Source organism: Homo sapiens, chromosome 15, assembly GCF_000001405.40.
Source record: "Homo sapiens chromosome 15, GRCh38.p14 Primary Assembly".
Classification (NCBI taxonomy): Eukaryota; Metazoa; Chordata; class Mammalia; order Primates; family Hominidae; genus Homo; species Homo sapiens.
In genome coordinates, this window is record NC_000015.10 from 34,848,770 (window position 1) to 34,869,557 (window position 20,788).

General features: G+C 37.4%; 1 protein-coding gene and 1 pseudogene across 1 annotated transcript in view; both read right to left on the bottom strand.

The window, feature by feature from the left end:
* Positions 214-1,715, bottom strand: TUBAP11 (tubulin alpha pseudogene 11; annotated as a pseudogene).
* The window catches only part of AQR (aquarius intron-binding spliceosomal factor), a 117,961-nt gene continuing 100,185 nt past the window's right edge, over positions 3,013-20,788 (bottom strand). The window contains exons 32-35 of the mRNA NM_014691.3: positions 18,755-18,840; positions 14,098-14,272; positions 11,273-11,386; positions 3,013-8,337 (exon numbers count right to left, since the gene is read on the bottom strand). Coding sequence (NP_055506.1) covers positions 8,023-8,337; positions 11,273-11,386; positions 14,098-14,272; positions 18,755-18,840 — 690 coding nt within the window. The 3' untranslated portion in view covers positions 3,013-8,022. The remainder of the gene's footprint in view (positions 8,338-11,272; positions 11,387-14,097; positions 14,273-18,754; positions 18,841-20,788) is intronic.

The window sequence follows — 20,788 nt, forward strand, 5'->3', positions numbered from 1 at the left end:
TCAGCATACGTTAATGATTAAAAAAGAAACACCTAGCAAGCTAGGAATAGAAAGAAGTTCTTAAAACCTGATACAGAGTGTATGCAAAAACCTATAGCAAACACTATACTTAGTGGTGAAATATTGAAAGTTTGCTCCTAAAACTGGGAAGAAACAAAGATACTTGTTCTGACTACCTCTTTTCAGCATTGTACTGGAGGCCTTCAAAAGGCCAATAATCTTACAGGTACAGATGGAACATTGATCTCCACTGAGTGTAAACAATCTAACCAGAAAGCTTTGATGCCTGTCAATTAATGTTGAAGCTTAAATTCTGGGAGTAAGACATGTTGCAGGGATGGAAGGAATGGATAATTAATATTTCTCTCCTCTTTCTCTCCCTCTCCTTTAACAGAATCTATACCAACCTCCTCATAAACCTTCTCAAGGGCAGCCATGTCCTCATTGGGCCTCAGAAAACCCTTCTTCTATGCCCCCCTCACGAATGTACCAGTGAACAAAGGCATGGTTGGCATACACCAGGTCAAAACTTGTGGTCCAGGTGAGCCCAGGTCTCAGCAAAGGCTGTGGTATTGCTCAGCATGCACACAGCTCTCTGTATCTTGGCCAGGTCTCCACCAGGTACCACCATGGGAAGCTCGTAACTAATGCCAACCTTGAAACCAGTGGGACACCAATCCACACACTGGATATTGTGCTTGGTCTTTATGGTGGTAAAGCAGCATTGACATCTTTATGGTGTCACCACAGTGCAACAGGCAGGAAGCCATCATTTGCCATGGCGAAGGTCACATTTCATCATCTGGTTGGCTGGCTCAAATCAAGCATTGATGATCTCTGCTCTAAAGCTCTTCATGATAGGCTTTCTCAGCAGAGATAACAGGGATCAGCATTCAGGAAGCCATCAACTCTAAGGGAAGCATAGAGGGCATAAACTGATGAATAAGGCAGTTAAAGTTAAAGAGACTTCACTAGCTATTGATAGGTTGAGCAATCAATATTGAGATTTCTATGACAGATGTCTACCACAAAGGAACACTCAGAGCGCTCCAGGGTAGTGTGGGTGGTGAGAATGGAGCTATAGGGCTCAACTACAGCTTTGGAAACCTGGGACACTGAGTAAATGAACTCCAACTTTGACTTCTTGCCATAATGAAGAGACAGACATTCTATCAGCAGGGAGGTGAACCCAGAACCAGTTCCCCAACCAAAGCTATGGAAAACCAAGAAGCCCTGAAGACTTGTGCACTGGTTGGCCAGCTTGAGAATTTGGTCCAACATGAGGCCAGTGATCTCCTCGCCAATAGTATAGTGCCCTTGGGCATAGTTATTGGCAGCATCTTCCTTGCCTGTGATGAGCTGCTCAGGGTGGAAGAGCTAGTGGTAGATGGCAACGTGAATTTTGTCAATGAATGTGGGCTCCAGGTCTACAAACACTGCCCTGGGCTTATGCTTGCCAGCACCTGTCTCACCGAAGATGTTAAAGGAGTCATCTCCCCGAGTGGTCTTGTCACTTGGCACCTGGCCATCGGGCTGCATGCCGTGTTCCAGGCCGCAGAGCTCTGAGCAGGGATTATCAATCTGGCCATCAGCCCGGCCAACGTGGATGGAGATGTGCTCACGCATAGTGGCTAGGGATTAAGAGACAAAGGCAACAGGAGCAGACACCAGGTCCCGGTCACTTCTCCTGAGAAGCTGAGTCAAGGTAACACACTCAGAAATCACACTTTTAAAACTATTATTACTTAACATGTTCTGCTTCTGCTTAAATATAAAATGACTTTAGGATAATTAGCATTTTTAGGCATACAGTATTACTTACCAGAGTCCCTTTCTATTATGTGTTTCTCATTCCTTTTTCAAACCAAAACAAATACTAATTTGTCTTTCTCCTGTAAGAATAAATATTGTAAACATTGGGACATTCTTTTTAGAGACCTTTTATTTTCTACCCTGATTTTGGCAACCTAGTCTTTTTGGTATATTGACCATAAGAGAAATTATTTAGTAGGCTTGTCTTACTCATGCACAGTTGGTGTTGTTCTGTTCTTTAATGTGTCTCAAGCAAAGAAATTTAAAGGGCAGCATGGTAAGAAATTTGCCTAAAAGTTACATGATGGTTCTAGTCCCTGTTCAATTAATTGTGGTGTCCCAGGCAAATCACCCAATGCCTTGGTGTTCTCATCTATAAAGTACTAGAGTTGTTTTTGGCATTGCTGCCTGGCACAGAGTTGGCATTCAATAGTCTGTTGATATACAAATATTAGTTTCATAAACATCTTCAAAAGTTTTATTATATTGAATTCAATTCACTTCTGTGAAAAGTAGTCAACCAACTAAATGGCATGCAAATTAACAAGGTCTACTCCTATTGCACGCTATTTTCGTGGCAGTCTGAGATGAGAAGAAACTAGCACTGGAAGCAAAAAGGTAATGAAAATACAGTAACACAGTAAGCACTTTTAGTTCACTTTGTGGACAACTGAACTAGAAACCAGATGGAAAAAACTAAGCAACCAACCAACCAACCAATCAAAAATGGCCCAAATGAACCAGTGAACTAAAGTAGAAAAGGATCACTTCCCATCCAGAACTGTTTTTCGAAAAATGTCAATAAATTCAGCTCTTAAAAGAGCTTTTTATATTAAACCAGGCATCTTTCAAAGAGAAGCAGCTACCTTTGAGGTTCTTGAACTTAGGTTGCAACACAAAGATAAGTATAATAGAGAGAGTGCACAATGTTAAATCAAAGGTAGAGGGGAAGAGGATTGTGGGGACAGTTATTCTGGAGATCAAGAAAGAATTCAGTATGCTTAATGCAAAGTAACTGCTGGGGTCCTTGTGTGTTAAATATTCTTATGCGAGGAAACTGTCTTCATGTTTTATATTTGCCTTCATTTTCTTTTATTATTTCCAGACCACCTCTATTGGTTATGCTAAGTAATCCTTTTCTCTTTTTGGAGTTTAAACTTTTTAAGGAAACAAAAACTAAAGAACAGAAAGCCAGACACATTGGAAATACAAACTCTTCTTTTACTGCATAAGAAATGAGAAGAAAAACTTAGTGTGAAATTCTGGAGTCTAAAATTAAAATGTAAACAGAGAATGCTCAGTGACCTTTTCTTAGGAGGCTCACATGAAGGAATGTCATGGTACATTGACCAAACTTTTATTCATTTGCATTTTCAGGATGTTGCGATTAATACCACATGACACTCAATAAATTACACTACGACATTTTGTACAAATCACTTCACTTCTGGTTTCCTCTTCGGCTGTTACTTCACCCTCTGGTTACCTGTAGGGAAAAAAAATGTATTTTGGGGCTTTATCTTTAAAGGGCGATTCACAGTTCTAGCCAATGTAAAGATATTGGTTCCCAAGGAAATAGCTACCTAAGTTATGTTTTTTTTTTTTTTTTGAAGGAGTTTTTGCTCGTCGCCCAGGCTGGAGTACAGTGGCGCCATCTCAGCTCACTGCAACCTCCCCATCCCGGGTTCAAGTGATTCTCCTGCCTCAGCCTCCACAGTAGCTAGGACTACAGGTGCCTGCCACCATGGCTGGCTAATTTTTGTCTTTTTAGTAGAGACGGGGTTTCACCATGTTGGGCCGGATGATCTCGATCTCCTGACCTCAGGTGATCCGCCCGCCTGGGCCTCCCAAAGTGCTGGGATTACAGGCGTGAGCCACTGCACCCGGCTCGTGTTCTAAGGAAATAGCTACCTAAGGTATCTTATTAAAACAAATGAACAAAAAGTTTCCCAAACTGTGTTCTAAGGAAATAGCTACCTATCTTATTAAAAAAAAACAAAAACAAAGTTTTATGCTCTAATAAGTTTGGGAAATGCTAGGTTAAACAAAGCTAAACATGATTCTTTCCAGTGGGACATCTGAGAGTCTTTAATTAGCTAACAGTGCATTGTGATTCTGCAAAGGAGGAACAATAATTCACTGTTTCCCAAACTTATCTGACCATAGAACATATTTCTCAGAGTATTTTTCAAGAGTAGTATTTTCTGTAATATATGATGAAAAATAATCGTATCGGCCATCTTTGTACATAAGGTCAAAATGTCAGGCAGCCCTGAAATAAACGCAAGCCAAAAGGTAGAGAGATAAGTGAATAAAGCTGGCACACTGTCAGTCCGGAGTACCATGCTGCATTCTGAGTCAAGCTCCAGGAAACTGAGCTAGGGTTTGTCTCTAAGAAGAAAAACTGGAGCGTCCAAAGCTTCTGGATTCCATTTAATTAAAACCCTTTTAAATTAAATCCTTGTAACTGAAGAGTATCGGTGGATGAAGAAAAAATAGTCTCACATGTCTTCATTTCCATCCTTGGCTCAGTACAGCTCCAGTTCCATTATTCTTAAACATCTATTAACATGATTGCTAAATAATTACACAGGCTAACTGCCAAGCATTTTTCACAGGAAGCAAGGCACTGCTCTTCTGGCTTATGCAAAAGGGTCACTGTTTTTTTTTTTTTTTTAACTTTATCTTGTTTTGATTGAAGAAACATCTCTAAAAATACCATCTGAGTGCAAGATAAAAAGGAAATAGCAATTCAAGGCACAAAGCTAAGCACATGCAACAATATAGATGATTTGGGGGTGGGACAGTACAGAATTCAGAACTGATAGAAGTTATCAGCTCCATATTTCAGAAAGACCTAATGTCTTCCTTCTGCTTATACTGTTCTGACAGAATTTTAATTTTGGCAGAGATCACTCTCGATGTTATGATGTACTGATTCAGAGGTCCCAAATCAGTAACCTGATCCTAGATAGATCCTCAAAGGTCAACTGCCACTAGGTGTCCCCTTCTTGATCATTCTTCATGCTGCCTGGATTGGGGCATGGCTAAGCACTCAAGTCAAAGGATTAGTTGGCAATATCCTACATTGTCAACAAAGCTTTGAAGAAAAACAGAGACAGAAACTGGTATTTACTAAGTACCTAGGTGATAAATTATTTTCATAAACATTACCCTATAAAACAGACAACTCTCCTGTCCCAAATCCAAACAGATCTTTTTCCTTTATTTACAGATAAAGAAAATGGGCTTAGAGAGGTTATAAAATTTGTCTAAGGTCTAACCAAATGCTGATAAGCAAATTAGGTACAACTCTGAGCCAGGTCTCGATGAGTCCAAAGTGTGTTTTATAATATCTTGCTGTCTCTTGATCATTACAAAATTTCATTTGTTTACAGGAGCACAAATGGCCTATTTATGCCTTTTCTCTCAGCATCTAGCAAAACATCTCAACTTTTATTACACCAACTTTGGGAGTCTTGATGATGTTTAAATCTTCTCATTCATTTGCCTAAATCAATAGAGCTATTTATCCTCAACTGTTGGCAATGAACTTTCTTAACTCAGAATTTTGAAAAAAAAAAAAAAAAAAGAAGAAGAAATTCTAAATACTTGAATTGCTTCATTTCATGCTCATTCTTTTGGGCATGGCTCTTTTTGGTTTTCTTTACAAAGAGATTCTAAAATCATGACACATTTAGATATGAAAAATAGGATGGAGAGCAATGGGAACACTAATCTGAAATAGTCACATGGCTAGAGTACCTGTGTCTGTAGTAATCCCAAACTATATAGAAAACTCTTGAATTTATTAAGCAATCCCTCATGTGTGCTTGATTGAAAAAATAAACAAAGCAGTGCCGTAGAACTGTAGACTTGGATTCTACCCCCACTCTTCCATAGTTGCCACCCTGGTTAAGTCTCTCTGATTGTTTCCTCATTATTTAAAATAAGTACAGCTCTTAAATTCCTTCAAAAATTCCCAAGATTCTACAGTCAACTGCCACTCACTTGCCTTTCCAATGAATAAACCGTTTAAAAGAATTCAAATCCCACCACCTTTACCCTTTCTAAATTCTTTTGACAAGGACAAAGGACTTACCCATCCATCTTCCACCTAAATTTGCTTTTTAGTGATAGAAAAACCAAGCAGCAAAGAAAAAAGTATGGTCACTCATCTAGGCAAGAGTGATGTACATTGCTTGGACAATAGTTAAGGAGAGAGCACTTAACAGCCAGCTTATTTTGGTTGCAGGTATCATACCTCATATCCCCTAAGGGAGAGAGAAAAATCAATCTTTTCCAGGAAAGATGGTAATACAGTAAAGCTTCTTTCCCTTGCTTGGCCTGATACCAAATATTTACAAATGAAAATAATTCTATGAGTGCGATTCCCCATACAGATGCCCACAGCACCTGCTTTCAAAATCTTTTATCGGAGAAATTACATAACAGGCTATCTGGCTTGATCCTTACTCTGATAACAAATAGACCTGGGTTTCCTAGTATCGCGTCCTTGGTATTTCACTCCTCTCATCGTCTCATCACTTTCATTTCCCCTCATCACCTGACATTGACACAAATGTCCTGATGCAGTAGGATACATCATAAAATGAGAGTCTGTACCATATTCAACACAGCCTGGTAGAGCTGAGCAAACACTAGTCACTCAAAAATATAACTGACTTGACTTTCTGGGTTTAATTTCCCTATGAAGCAATCATTCCTTCAAAATGTCAGGACCAGAAGGATTTCAATGGTAGTGTGCAGTTCTTGCTTGTTTCTTCAAAGATTCCTTGGACATGGCCAGGCCCATAGGTGGATGCACTAGAGGAGACATTCTGGGGTAAATGCTCCCCTCCCCTTTAGATACTCTAGCAGATGATCAAAATGGGAAATAGAGAACTAGTGGGCAATTTTCCCCTCTACACATACATATAAACATTTCCTTTTTTTTTTTTTTTTTTCCAGTTCTGGGCACCATGCCCAGGGACCTTGTAAGCAGAGGTCCCTTGTCAGAAAACATTAGTCACATTCACTGGTAATTCTACATTATAGCCTCATTCATGTGAAGACAACACAGTAATCTTAGTACAGTGCTTCTCAAACTACAAAGTGCCTGTGAATCACCTGGGGACTTTGTTGCAATGTAGATTTAGATTTAATAGGTTTGGAGCAGAGCCCAAACTTCTGCATTTCTATAAATAACAAACTTCAATACGATGTTGATGCTGTTGGTTCACAAATCATACTTGAGTAGCAAGGTCCCAGGTACCTCTGCCTTCCCATATTTGAACCACATTTTACCTGAAGGTCTCCTTGTGGCTGGTTATCCCAAGAAAAATAAGGCAGAAAACTCAGAATTTCTGCCATGGGAAAATTCTACCCTGCACACAGGAGTTAAGTTCTCTGACTCTCATTGCCCAGACTCAGGATCCTGCTTCTTGCCCAGATTGATTTGGCAGAGTCCTCCTATTTAGCTGATGACAAATCCTGGCTCAGCCTAACCAGCCTTGGCTGATGCCACTCTGCCAGCAACCCAAACATTAGTGGTGTGGAGAACCTCCTAAAATATAGATTCCTAGGCTCTAATCCTGAGATTCTGACTCATTCAGTCTGAGGTGTGCCTCAAGAATAAACAGACATCTTAGGTGATTCTAAGGCATTCTAAGATTTGAGAGAAGGAAATGCATGTAACCACTTTGATAGATTGAAGAAACCTGTATCTTACTGCTAATAATATCTTTACATAAAGACAGCAAACAAAGGTAAGAAAAAAGGAAACAGAATTTAAGCATTTGATAGTATAACAGAAGAAACAAGTTCCTTCCCAATTTGGACACTCAAGGGTATTCGTGGTTAAGTCCAGTATATTCTGTCCTCTTCTTTAGAGAAGTTCACTAAAAATGTGAAGTATATATTATATATTCATAGAAAATGATTTTAATGTAGGTATGATTACAGACACACTCAGTGATCAAAACATGAAAGGAATGGTTATTTGCTCTTCTGATTGAACAAATGAAACTAGAATTGTTCATACACATAATTTAAAAAAATATATTCAAGACACCGAAATCAGTTAACAAATATAAGAACTAAACATTAATTAGTGACAGTAAAATGGCAGAAGCAAATATAAAATACAAAAAACAGCTTTACTCAGACTTTTTGACTGCCATGTCCTCCTTTAGAAGGACTACAGTTTGGCTACTTGGTCTCTTCCGGGGCAGATGTGGCATCCTGAGGTGTGTTAGCTTCTGCCGGTGCAGATACAGCTCCTACCACAGTAGGGGTGGTCTCAGATAAAGCAGGGATGGCTTCTGGAGTGGAAGTGGCTCCTGTCTCACTGGGGGTGGTGTCAGTTTGAAAGGCTGGAGTTTCTTGACGGCAGCTGGTGTCTGTTGGACTGGGTATGATGTCAGCTTGAACAGTCATGGCCTCTTCTTCTGTTTCCAATTCTGTTTCTTGATTTTGAACTTCCTCACCCTCTTCTACCATAGCAGGTGGTAGTTGTAATAAAGTCTAATTAAAAAAAAAAAAACAAAGACAATACCAATATGAAAAACAGCTTATAAAGCTAAGCTCTCACATTACCATTCTAGAGTTCTCCAAAACAGTGCTGACCATTTTATACTCCAGATGTAACACCTCTGATGACAATGGTCTAGGTTCTGCTAACACCAAGGAATATGCCTACACAGATGTCATATACTGATAATCAAAATACATATAAAATCTTCAGAGAGGAAAACAACCATGAAAAGCTATTAGATTTTTAAGCAACATACTTTGCTGTCAACATTTCTGCAAAAAACAGTGACTGATCAGGACTGATTATAAAACTAACTCAAGAAAGGGTCAACTTTAATCAAAGAGCCCTGTGAGCTGGGTGCGGTGGCTCATGGTGGCATTCCCGGCACTTTGGGAGGCCAAGGCAGGCGGATCACTTGAGGCCAGGAGTTCGAGACTAGCCTGGCCAACATGGTGAAACCCCATCTCTACTAAAAAACACAAAAATTAGCTGAGCGTGGTGGCAGGAGCCTGTAATCCCATCTACTCAGGATGCTGAGGCAGGAGAATCACTTGACCCTGTGAGTTGGAGGTTGCAGTGAGTTGAGATTGTGTCACTGCACTCCAGCCTGGGTGACAGAGAGAGATTCTGTCTCAAGAAAAAGAAAAAGAAAAGAAAAAGAGCCCTGTGAGAGGCAGAGAGGAGCCTGGCCTTAAGGCAAAGCCATGGGAGAAGGGAGCAGCAAGGAACAAGGTTTCTGTTCCGTTCAACCAGAAAACTGGAGCAACTCTATATGCTTAGCTTGCCCTTTGCCCCATGGCAGTCTAGTGACTTTCTCATCAGGGACTCTGCTTACAATGCTGGAAATTGAATGAATGAATTGATTGATCGATTGATTGATTGACTGAGACAGAGTCCCACTCTGTCGCCCAAGCTGGAGTGCAGTGGTGCCATCTTGGCTCACTGCAACCTCCGTCTCCCAGGTTCAAGCGATTCTCCTGCCTCAGCCTCCCAAGTAGCTGGGATTACAGACATGTACCACCATGCCTGGCTAATTTTTGTATTTTTAGTAGAGACGGGGTTTCACCATGTTGGCCAGGCTGGTCTCGAACTCCTGACCGCAGGTGATCCACCTACCTCAGCCTCCCAAAGTGCTAGGATTACAGGCATAAGCCACCGCGCCTGGCCTTTAAGATTTTTAAAAAGTACCGTGCACGACAGCAGCAAAAAAAAAAAAAAAAAAAAAGAAAACGAAAAAGAAAAATACTTAGCAAAATGTTAACAAAATATGTGTAAGGTTTGTATGTTGAAAACTACAAAATCCTGATGAGAATTTAAAGAAGATCTAAATAAACGAGAGATCTTATTCATGGATAGGAAGACTTAATATGTGAAGATGTTAATCTCCCCAAATAGATCCTAAACAATCCTCCTCTTCAAAATATCCTTTTAAAAACTGCAGCATGCTTTTGGGGGTAGAAACTGACCTGCTGATTGTAAAATGTATACAGAAAAGCAAAGGAACTGGGATAGCTAAGACAATTTCTAAAATGAAGAACAAAGCTAAAGGACTTATGTTATCTAATTTCCAGACTGACTGTAAAGCTACTATAATCAAGGTAGTACAGTCATGGCAAAGGGACGGATATACAGAATAATGGAACAGAATAGAAAGCCCAGACTCTCACATATATAGTCAATTGATATTTTGACTAAGATGACAAGCAAGTCAACAAAGAAAAAAATCGCCTATTAGGGAAGTGGTGCTCAAACAACTGCATATCCACAGACAAATGAATAAAACTCAGTCCTACCTGTATCATATAAAAATTAACTCAAAATGCATCATACCTAAGTATCCAACCTAAAACTCTGCAACTTCTAGAAAAAACCTTTATACCTCTGAGTTAGGCTATGTATTTTTAGGACATAAAAAGCATGAATCATAAAAGAACACTTTGATACATTGAACTTCATCAAAATTTAAAACTTTTGCTCTTTGAAAGACACTTACAAAATAAATAAACAAGCCAGAATGGGAGAAAATATTTGTAAAATACATATCAGATAAAGGACTTGTAGCCAGAATAAATAAAAACCTCTCAAAACTTAATAAAATATACAGCCTAATAAAAAAATGAGCAGGAAACCTGAGCAGACACATCCCCAAAGATATACAGATGGCAAATGACCACATGAAAAGATGCTCATCATCAGTCCTTAGGGAAATGAAAACCAAAACCATACTGAGACCACTGTATATCTATTAGAACTGCCAAAATTTTAAAAAGACGTACCATATCAAGTGAGGGTGAGGATGTGTAGCAACTAGAACTCTCACACTGCTGCTGAGAGTGTAAAGTGGTTCAACCACTTTGAAAAACAGGTTGGTAGCTTCTTAAAAAGTTAAACACATCCTTAACATAAATTCAGCCATTCCACTCTTAGGTATCTACCCAAGATAAAGTACAAAGACTTGTATAAGCAATAGTAGCCAGAAAAAATAAGAATACATACTGTATGCTTCCATTTATATAAAAATCTAGAAAATAGAAGCAAACCTATCATGACAGAAAGCAGATCCTTGGCTGCCTGGGAAGGTAAAAAGGGGACTGGTGAAGGGCAAGGAGGGATTACAAATGGGCACAAGGGAAAACTCTTGGGATAATGGATATGCTCTTTATCTTGACTGTGCTGATGGCTTCACAGGTAAATACCTATGCCAGAACATATAAAATTTTACACTTTAAGTTTGTGGACTTTATTGTATGTGGAATTCTAACTATATAAAGAAGTTTTAAAAATACGAATGTTACATAAATAATAATAGCCTGCTTTAGTTTAGCTGATTTCCCACAAGGAATTAGGTACTTTAAAGATTTATTCTGAAAAAAAGAAAATTATTTCTACAGCAAGAAAAATAAAAGTCGATTTTGAGAAACTCACCTGATGATAATGATGTGTAGTCTGTATCAAATGCATGTACATGTTGTATACAAAGTTTGCCATCTGGGGCATATTTTTTATTATTTGTACTTCATGAGATGGTCTCTCTCCATTCTAGAAGAAGGAAAAAAGAACGTTAAGTATCTAGTAAAACAACCCTAGAAGGTAACACTTCAACATAAACCCATTTCTTAATCTTATGAATAAGCACAATTAGGGTCTGGAAGACCTAACAGTAAGAGGACATAAAATGCAAGTGTGAAGAGTCCAATGAAGACTTCATGAATGTTAAAAAAAGACTTAAATAGAATTAATAAAAAGGGGGCCCAGGTCAGCACGCTCTGCCTGCTGGCCACGTGACTCCCATTAAAAAAAAAAAAAGACTTCATGAAGAATAGTGATTCCATTGAAATTTAGAAAGGTTAGAGACTAGAAGAGCTAAGAGTTGCCAGCTTTTAATATAATTTTGGGCTGGTAAGTTAAGTATGGGTTTTAGTTTACTATCTAATATAAAAGAATTAGTACAAGATAAGTAATTATTTGACTAGAGAGAAAAGTCAACACAGTCTGAAACAGCAGTTTCTAAGACTGTGTATGCTCCAAAGACAGTTCTTAAGATAATTCAGAAAGAAAATATTAACACTCTTTGTCCTACTTATATTTTTCTAAAAAGTAAGAGGCTAACATTTACTTTTATTTAACACATATACTATGAGTCAAGAGGGTGAATATTCAAATGCTCTTTTTAAGATTTTGGTGTCTATCAGAATCATCTGGGGTAGACTGTTAAATTGCAGGTACCTAGGCTCCAGCCCTATAGATTCAGATTCAGAAGGTCTGGGTGGAATGAGCTGATTCTTCTGTAGCTTCTGACAACAATCTAAGAAACACTGCTCTATAAGTGTAGGTAAGGTAGTAAAGCAAATCAAGAAAATACAGAATTTGCACTTCTTTTTAAACCACCCTAAAATAGAGATTAACAACTTTCCTATTTATAGTTATTAATAAAATGCTTATAAAGTCTTATCCTTTCTTATGATAGGAACAATTTAGAAAATCATTAAGGTAAAAAACATACCCCAAAAAAGGAGGATTCAATCTCAAAGTGAAAAGTTATTTAAAGAGCATGAAGTTAGAAATAATTTAGTAAATTAAACAACATTTCTCAGAAGTAAGCAGGATGGCAGCATTCCATCTAAGCAGGTATTCTTTTGATTAATGGTCATTTTCTGCAATGGTCAGAACTCGTATGTACAAATACGGCCATGCTATTATGACTAGGAACATGGAAGAGTTTTTGCTTGTTAGCTTATTTTCTGGAGTCTTGCCAAGAGCTGCCTTTCCTTGAGACACAGCACTCTCCGCCCCTCACTATCTCTTGAGGAGAAGATGGGGAGATGTTCTCAGCCCTAACCTCCCCAGGGCCTTGAACTCATGAGTGTTATCTAAAGCATGGGTTTCCAAGCCTTCTGTTCAGTGATATTGTCTGACCTGCACTCCAGATTTCTTCAGGTGTGACATGTAGCCCTTACATAGAAAGCACGTGGGGAGCTTGTTACACATGATGACACCTAGGCTCTGTCCCAGACCTCTTGTCAGGAATGTGCCTGTTTACTAGCCCACAAAAGATCAAGAAACTCGGATATAATAGGATTGTGTCTAGACTTGAGCCTGACACTTGAGGCTTTATGTGACCCTACCACCCCATGATCTCTCTCCACCATTTTCCTATTTCTCCACAGCAGCATTTCTTCAAAAATAAGTAAATAAAAAGGCACTTTTTATAAAGTACTTATTATTATTAAACACACAAGATTTAAGTTTTTTTTTAGTAGGGGTGGAGGGAAGACGTATACTGTGAACATCTAAAATAATGTTATTTAAAATCCAATGGACCCCCCTAGGACAATTCATTAAATGAAAAAGCAAAGCCCAAAAGTCTATAGTATAATAACCTGAAGGAAAATAATATAAAAGTAACATATCTCTTCTCCTTTATACAAAAGGAATATAAGGATAAACGTGAAACTAAAGAAACTGGTTACCTATGGAGGGAAGGTGCTAGGAAAAGGGGAGAAAGAAGGGGAGATAAGAGGGAGTAGTATTTCTCTATCTTTTCTTTAAATATATGTGCTCTCTCCTCCCTCATTTCCCCAGAATGTAAGCTTCTTAAGAACTCAACTATTTATTGCTCTATTTCCAAGTAAGTAGTTAAGTTCTCCTTACAAAGCTGAAGACAAACAGTACAGTATAATGATAAATAACATGAACTCTGGGATGTTATTCGAAAAGACCTCCTGGCTTTTCAGATCTTGGATCCTCTATCTGCTAGATGCATGGCCAAACTACTTAGCTTCTCTGACCCTAAGTTTCTCCATTTGTAAAACGGGGTTAATAAAATAATCTAATAACCTAATAGGCTGTTTTTACTGAGATGAAAATGAGATAATGTATGTAAAGAACTGCCTGCCTAATACATGGTAGCCACTAAATGTTGGCTGACATTATTATTTTTAATTTTTATTTATTTATTTTTTATAGAGACAAGGTCTCACTATGTTGCCCAGGCTGGTCTCAAACTCCTGGGCTCAAGCAATCCTCCTACCTCAGCCTCCCAAAGTGCTGGGATTACAGGCATAAGCCACTGCGCCCTACCGATATCATTTTTATATAGAAAATCTACCTCAGTTCCTCAGTGCAGCACACTCTAAAACAGGGACTAAATTATCTATAATAATGTTCCAAGCTAATGTGGTCACCTATAAGAAAATCCCAATTTCCACTCTGAGGAATGCTGTTTTATAAAATGAAGAAAGAAGTCCTACCTTTCTAGTAGTTGGGAAAGGTTCTGTTGGAATTATATGCAAATGAAGGGGGCGAGCTGTGAGCTGACTGAAAGCTGGAGTCAGTTCAAAACAGTTTTGGAAGAGGGATACTCTGGCGAAGATATAAAGTCCAAGTCTGGCTCTAGACATGGCCACTACCAAGCGACGGACATCCCTTTGGGAAATAAACAAAATAATTAGCACACTTCAAGATTATTAACATTTAAGCAGCTTTTTTTTTTTTCACAGATTTCATTAGATAGTCCTGTTAAGCCCTGGCAATAAAAAGTTAAGCTTCTTAAAAACTTAATAGAAGTTAATCAATGTTACGTGACTAATAAACCAAGTAAAAGTTAAGGCTTTATTACTAACCTCTTGTTGGTTTTTTGAAGGGGAGGATCACAAAATAACCAATGCACTTATTAAAAAGGTCTAAGTAATATATTAGTATTACAGTAGAGTTCAATTGTCAGTTACTAACTTACTGTATCACTGTCATTGAGTCAATTCGAACTAGCTCTTCTTCCACTTCACCTACCAAAATCCCAGGCTCCATTAAGGTAAAATTTTACTTCCTAGATAACTCTTACCACACTGTTTTATACTTATTTACAATAATAAGTACATATGGAAATACAGTATGATGTTATAAAACAACACAAGTTGAGCATCCCTAATGTGAAAGTTCAAAATCTGAAACTTCAGATAAGGGACAGTCAGCCTATAACATGTTTTATCCATGTATTTATTCTAGTATTTAGATTCAATGCCTGGCCTATAATAGGTACTCAATGTTCATATCAACAGTGATAAAACGGTTAAACTGAATGATCAAACTACACATGTAGCTGGCTATCTGATGAATGATGTCATTTTTCTTTAATTTATTTTTTTAAAAGAATCTAAGTTTTTTAAAAAAGGTTTGAATCAAATAAATGTGAAGAGGGCTAATGTAATTTCACCTCACTATTAAATAAAATGTGTTTTAGTGAGAAAAAATAATTTTGGTTTCAAATGCAGAGGACAGATTTTTTACCTGAGATGTTTTTAGATGGCTATTTAAATTTTTGAGTACTCTGCAAAAGAGAAGACTTTCATGAAGAATAATAAAGCCTGGGAGAATCACCTCCAATCTCTGAAAGAAAGTGTGAAGAGTGTTACAGAGATCTAATGTTACAGAGATTGTTCTCTGTAACATTCAGAGAGACAGAGAGAACCAGGAATTGGAATATTTATCTAATAGCTTTTCTTTGTGTAATGCAAGGTATTTGGGGAGTATCTCTAATTCGGCCTCATTTTTTATGGTTTTTTTTATGGTCTAGTCTATGGTCTTAAAATCATCTAGTTTCCTTAAGGAGGTACAGTGTGACACCAGCATATGCTATCACTTATATTCTTGTGCTACGTGTATGTGTGTGAAGGGACAGAGCAGGGATAGGTACCCTTTCCCCAGCAACAAACAAAATTAAGACATGCTCATTTAGGTAGAAGGAAAGGACATACTCCTTTACAGAAACCTTGAGGAATCTCTACATTTGTGACATACTGGATTCATGAAGGAAATATTATTTTCTAAGTTACTGTCAGCCAAATTATTATTTTCGCCACATTTCCTTAAAACCCCAAGGGGTTATGCTACAGTTGGGTGGTTCCAACACTGGTAACTGAAGGTACACTGCTAGAAATACCTAGCGTAAGTCCTCACACAAATATTATAAATAAAATTATAGTGGAATTTAATGTTGTTAGGAGGAAAAAGGGTTAGTGGTGGAAGCAGGTGATAAACTGTTGTTTTCATGGTGATCTCTTACATCCAGAAGGCCCTATCTCTAGACAGAGCAGCACAGATACAGCATTATTGCAATGACCACTGTATGGTCTCGGAGAAAACTTCTCCCCAGCCTTCAGTGCTATAGTGCAGTAAAGTGGCTTTTGTCAGTATGATCTCCGTTGTACATGAGGAGATTTGAACTACAAATTTTCTGCAGATTCAAATGTAGGTATCTTCCAAGGATATATTAATGAATCTGCCACTAGACCCTAAAGTCCACAAGGGCAGAGATCATGAATGTTAGATCTATTACTAAATATTAAGAATCTAGCACACTGACAAACAATGGATGGATCTGAAAATGTTTGTTAAATGAATGACCAAATACTACGAACATAACAAACTACCAGGCAAAAAAAACAAAGGATGGTAACATGAGTAGGCAGAGTTCCTTGGAGTTATGTCTTGAAAGCAGGGCAATATGGGCTACAACATTCTTTCTTAGTCCCCAGAAGATGGCTGGAGAGGAAAAGCACTGTTAAACAACAACGCCAACACTCTGATAGAACCCCTATGAGGAAACAACAGAGGAAAGCTGCAGCCTCATTACTTGGCTCAGAACAGGTTACGTGCATTTCTATTGGTAGCTAGGCTGTCCAAATCAGTTCGGTACAAGAACAATGAATGCTGGAAAAGGGACCAGAACTGTCCCACTACTCTGGCTACTAAACAGCTCCACATTGTCCTAAAACAGGCCTCTGGAACTGAAGCTGGCTCCAACCCAATCACCCAATTAGTCCACCCTGGCTGAAAAAAAGGTGTGAGCAAAAGAAATAAGGCAGGCACTTGGAAAACAGTCTAACAGTTCCCTAAAATGCTAAATACAGAGTTACCATATGACCCAGAAATTCTACTCTTAGGTCTACATCCAAGTGAAAGAAAAACAAGTGTTCACATAAAAATTGTATATGCATATTCATAGCAGCATTATTCATTCTAATAGCCACAAAGTGGAAACAACCCAATGTCCAATTGATGAATGGATAAATAAAATGTGACATAGCCACACAATGGAATACTATTCAGCAATGAAAAGGAATGAAGTACTGATACATTCGACAACAATGAACCTTGAACATATGTTAAGTGAGAGAAGCCAGTAACAAAAGACCACATATTATATGATTCCATTTATATTAAGTGTCCAAAATAGGCAAATCTACAGAGATAAAAAGTAAATTAGTGGTTGCCAAGGGTTTGGGGGAGTGGGGAGGGAAGTGATTGCTAAGTACAGGGTTTCCTGCTACAGTGATGAAAATGTTCTAAAATTGATTGTGGAGATAACTGCATAGCTGTTAATATACAAAAAAATCATTGAATTGTACACTTTAAATAGATAAATTGTATACGCAAATTACAACTCAATAATGTTATCAAAAAAATGAAATATGGCAGGAAGTAGGTTTCCTTGGTATCCTGAAACAGAAATAGTTCCTTGCCTATATATAAAAGGAAGGATATGAAAGATTAGCTTTCTAAAAATCAGAAATTCTTATTAAAAGTTTGATAAAATTCTAGCTAAGATACCTAGGCTAAGCTACCTGGGTAACTGGAATCATAAATAATGAACTGACATATCCCTTCTATGCACAACCACCACCAACACTATCCCCCATGAAGAAGTTGGAGTTTCAAAGGAAAATTTTGGCAAATACAAATAAATTTAAGTTATTGGGATAAAGGTATTTTTGCTAAAAAATTTTGATGTTCAAGACAATACTGAAATCAGGTTTTCTTTTAACCCTTCATTTATAAGCATTGTATCATCAAAATCTTTCTTGTTTTCTAAGTTTACAGAAAAATTAGGCAAAGGGCAGCACAGAACTAAAGTCACTGGAATTTGAAGACCAAGTACCACAGAGTTAAGAAAAAAGGTAGGGAGAGGAGGGGGGCGGAAGGAGTATTCATATATTCATACTGTAAGTTTTTGAGATGTTAATTATATAAACCATAGTGACAGTCCATTCAGATGGCAGTTATAAATCTCAATGAGAAGAAGGAATTGCTTTTGTAAAAAGTTAAGTCTGTAAATATTGGCTTGACACTTAATATGCAAAAACAAACTTCTAGTATGCAAAACAATTTTTTAAAACATTACATCTTTACTTACCTTTACATAAAAGTTATTAATCTCATGAAACCTGATCACTGGGTTAAGCTCCAAACAGATCTTAATGACAACATTATGAGAGCTTGGAGAATTTTCTTTTTATTTCTAATCAATAAAGTAATAAAATAAACTCTCCTTAGTTTTGTTAGTATGTCATATGAGATGAAGGTTTATATAAAACTAAATGGATGCTTTATAATAAGAAGATATTATTTCCGTAAATCTCTAGCACATAAATACATCATAATAAACGATAAAAGTAGATTGTTTGTTTTGACAATTCTTAATCCAGGGAGAACAAATGGCTCCTTTATCCTCTAACACTGAGGCTGAAAGATTGTGTATGAGAAAAAATGAGAAAACATATTATACAATGAAAATTTATTCTGAAGACTTTTTAGTTAATCTCCTTTAATTTCTGATATTAAGTTTCTAACAGATACAGGAGAGATTAAGATTTTATGATAAAACGCTATCTCTGAGGGTTACTAAAGGGTAAAACTTAAAATTACTAAAACATTTAAGAGTAAAAAAATCCAGCAGCAATGAGAATAGTTACAAGGAATTTGATGTTACATTCCAACAAAAAGCAGCAAAAGTTGCCTAGTAATTATAGTTTAAACTTAAAAAATATTTAGAACACTTAGCCACAGAATTTCAAAATTGAAGTAGATAGTAAAGTTCAATAAATATTATGAAAGTTTTTTCCTACGTACCTCAGATGGCCCACTGCCCTGGTTCGTACCAGAGAAAGAAGAATATAGTCATTCTGTTGACCTTGAAATCTATCAACAGTTGTCACCTAGAAATAAAAAATGGAAAATATGGTGCATTTGCAAAAGCCAAAAGACACTAGAGATCATTTAAATAATGTGCTAGGAACAAACATCTTATCCTTAATCAATCCCAAAAGAAACATAATCATAGGCTTGGAATTCCAAGAACAAGTTAATGAACATTATTAAAGAAACCATACTAATCAGATCAAACTACATCCTTATGTTATTAACACTTACAGCACTTGTCTTTACCTTTGCTGATAACTAAATAACTATTTTTGGAATTAACAGTCTTCCCCCATTAGATTGCAAAACTTCATGAAAGCAGAGACTATGTCTAGCTTATTAACTGGTATCCCAGTTTGATGCTCAGCAATATAACTTAGTATGCTTATTTATTACTTAACGTATCACTAGTAAATGTCTACAGCATTCCTCCATCAAAGAAAAAAACAAATAATCTTCATTGCACTTTCTGTTCAGTTTGAAAATATATGTACATGGGAGGCCAACATGGGCAGATCGCTTGAGCCCAGGAGTTAAAGACCAGCCTGGGCAATGCGGTGAAATCCCATCTCTACAAATTATACAAAAATTAGCTGGGCATGGTGGCGCGTGCCTGTAGTTCCAGCTACTCAGAAGGCTATGTTGGGAGGATTGCTTGAGCCCAGGAGGTGGAGGTTGCAGTGAGTTGAGATCATGACACTACACTCCGGCCTGGGTAACAGAGTAAGGCCCTGTTTAAAAAAAAAAGAAGAAGAAAGAAAGAAAAAAAGTGTATGTACAAATAGGGAAGTTCAGAAAGGTTTCAGTCACTAATACTGGCAACTCAGACATTTATCTTTTCATCAATTTGACAAAAAGTTTATTGCTTACCCTGCAGATACTGTAATTTATAGTCTCTCTATCTTTAGGAAGTTTACAAAACACTTTTTAAGTCAACTACATGGAGGTATAGTTTATACACAATAAAATGTGTTCAAGTGTACAATTTGATGAATTTTGACAATACATTTTCCCATGTGACCACCACCACAATAAAAATGTCCATCATCTCAGGCCCCATTTTGGTCAAATCTGCATCCCCCAGCCCCAGGCAACCACTGATTTACTTTCTGTCACTACAGATTATTTTTTGCCAGTTCTAGAATTACATAAAAATAGCATCAAAAGGATATATTCTTTTGTGTCCTGTTTCTTTCAATCAGCATGTTTCTGAGATATATTCATGTATGTGTACATGAGAAATTCATACCTTTTTGAGTATTCTTTCACTGAACAAATATACCACAGTTTTGTCCACTCACCTTTTCATGAAAAGTTGGCCTGTTTCTAGTTTGAAGCTATCTTGCATAAAGCTGCAATAAATATTCATGTACAAATATTTTTGTGGACATGTTTTCATTGCTCTTGAATAAATATGCAGGAGTGAAATTGCTGAGCTGTACAGTAAGTGCATACTTTATAAGAAACTGTCAAACTTTTCCAAAATTGTTATCCCACTTTACACATTCCCCAGCAATGTGTAAACTCTAGAACCCCAGTTCTAGAGTTTCAGTTGTTGTACATCCTTGCCAACATTTGTCATAATGTCAATCTTCATCATTTTACCCATTCTTTTGGGTAGGTAGTGGTATATCATTGTAGCTTTAATTTCTATTTCCTTGACAACTAATGATGGTAAGCACTTTTTCATGACGTATTGGCTACCTGTAGGTCTTCCTTATGTGAAGTGTCTGTTCAAGTCATTTGCCCATTTTGTATTGGTCTGCCTTATTTAGTAATAACTTTTATAGGAGTTCATATATTCTGGATATACGTCCTTTGTTGTTATGTGTGGATATTATACCTGGGAATTCTGTTGCCACTCTGACCATGTGGAGAACTGGGCTCACATGCTGACATTAGCAGGGCAGAATAACATCGTTGAGCTACCCTGTAACCCAACCTTGGAACCACCCTATTTCCATC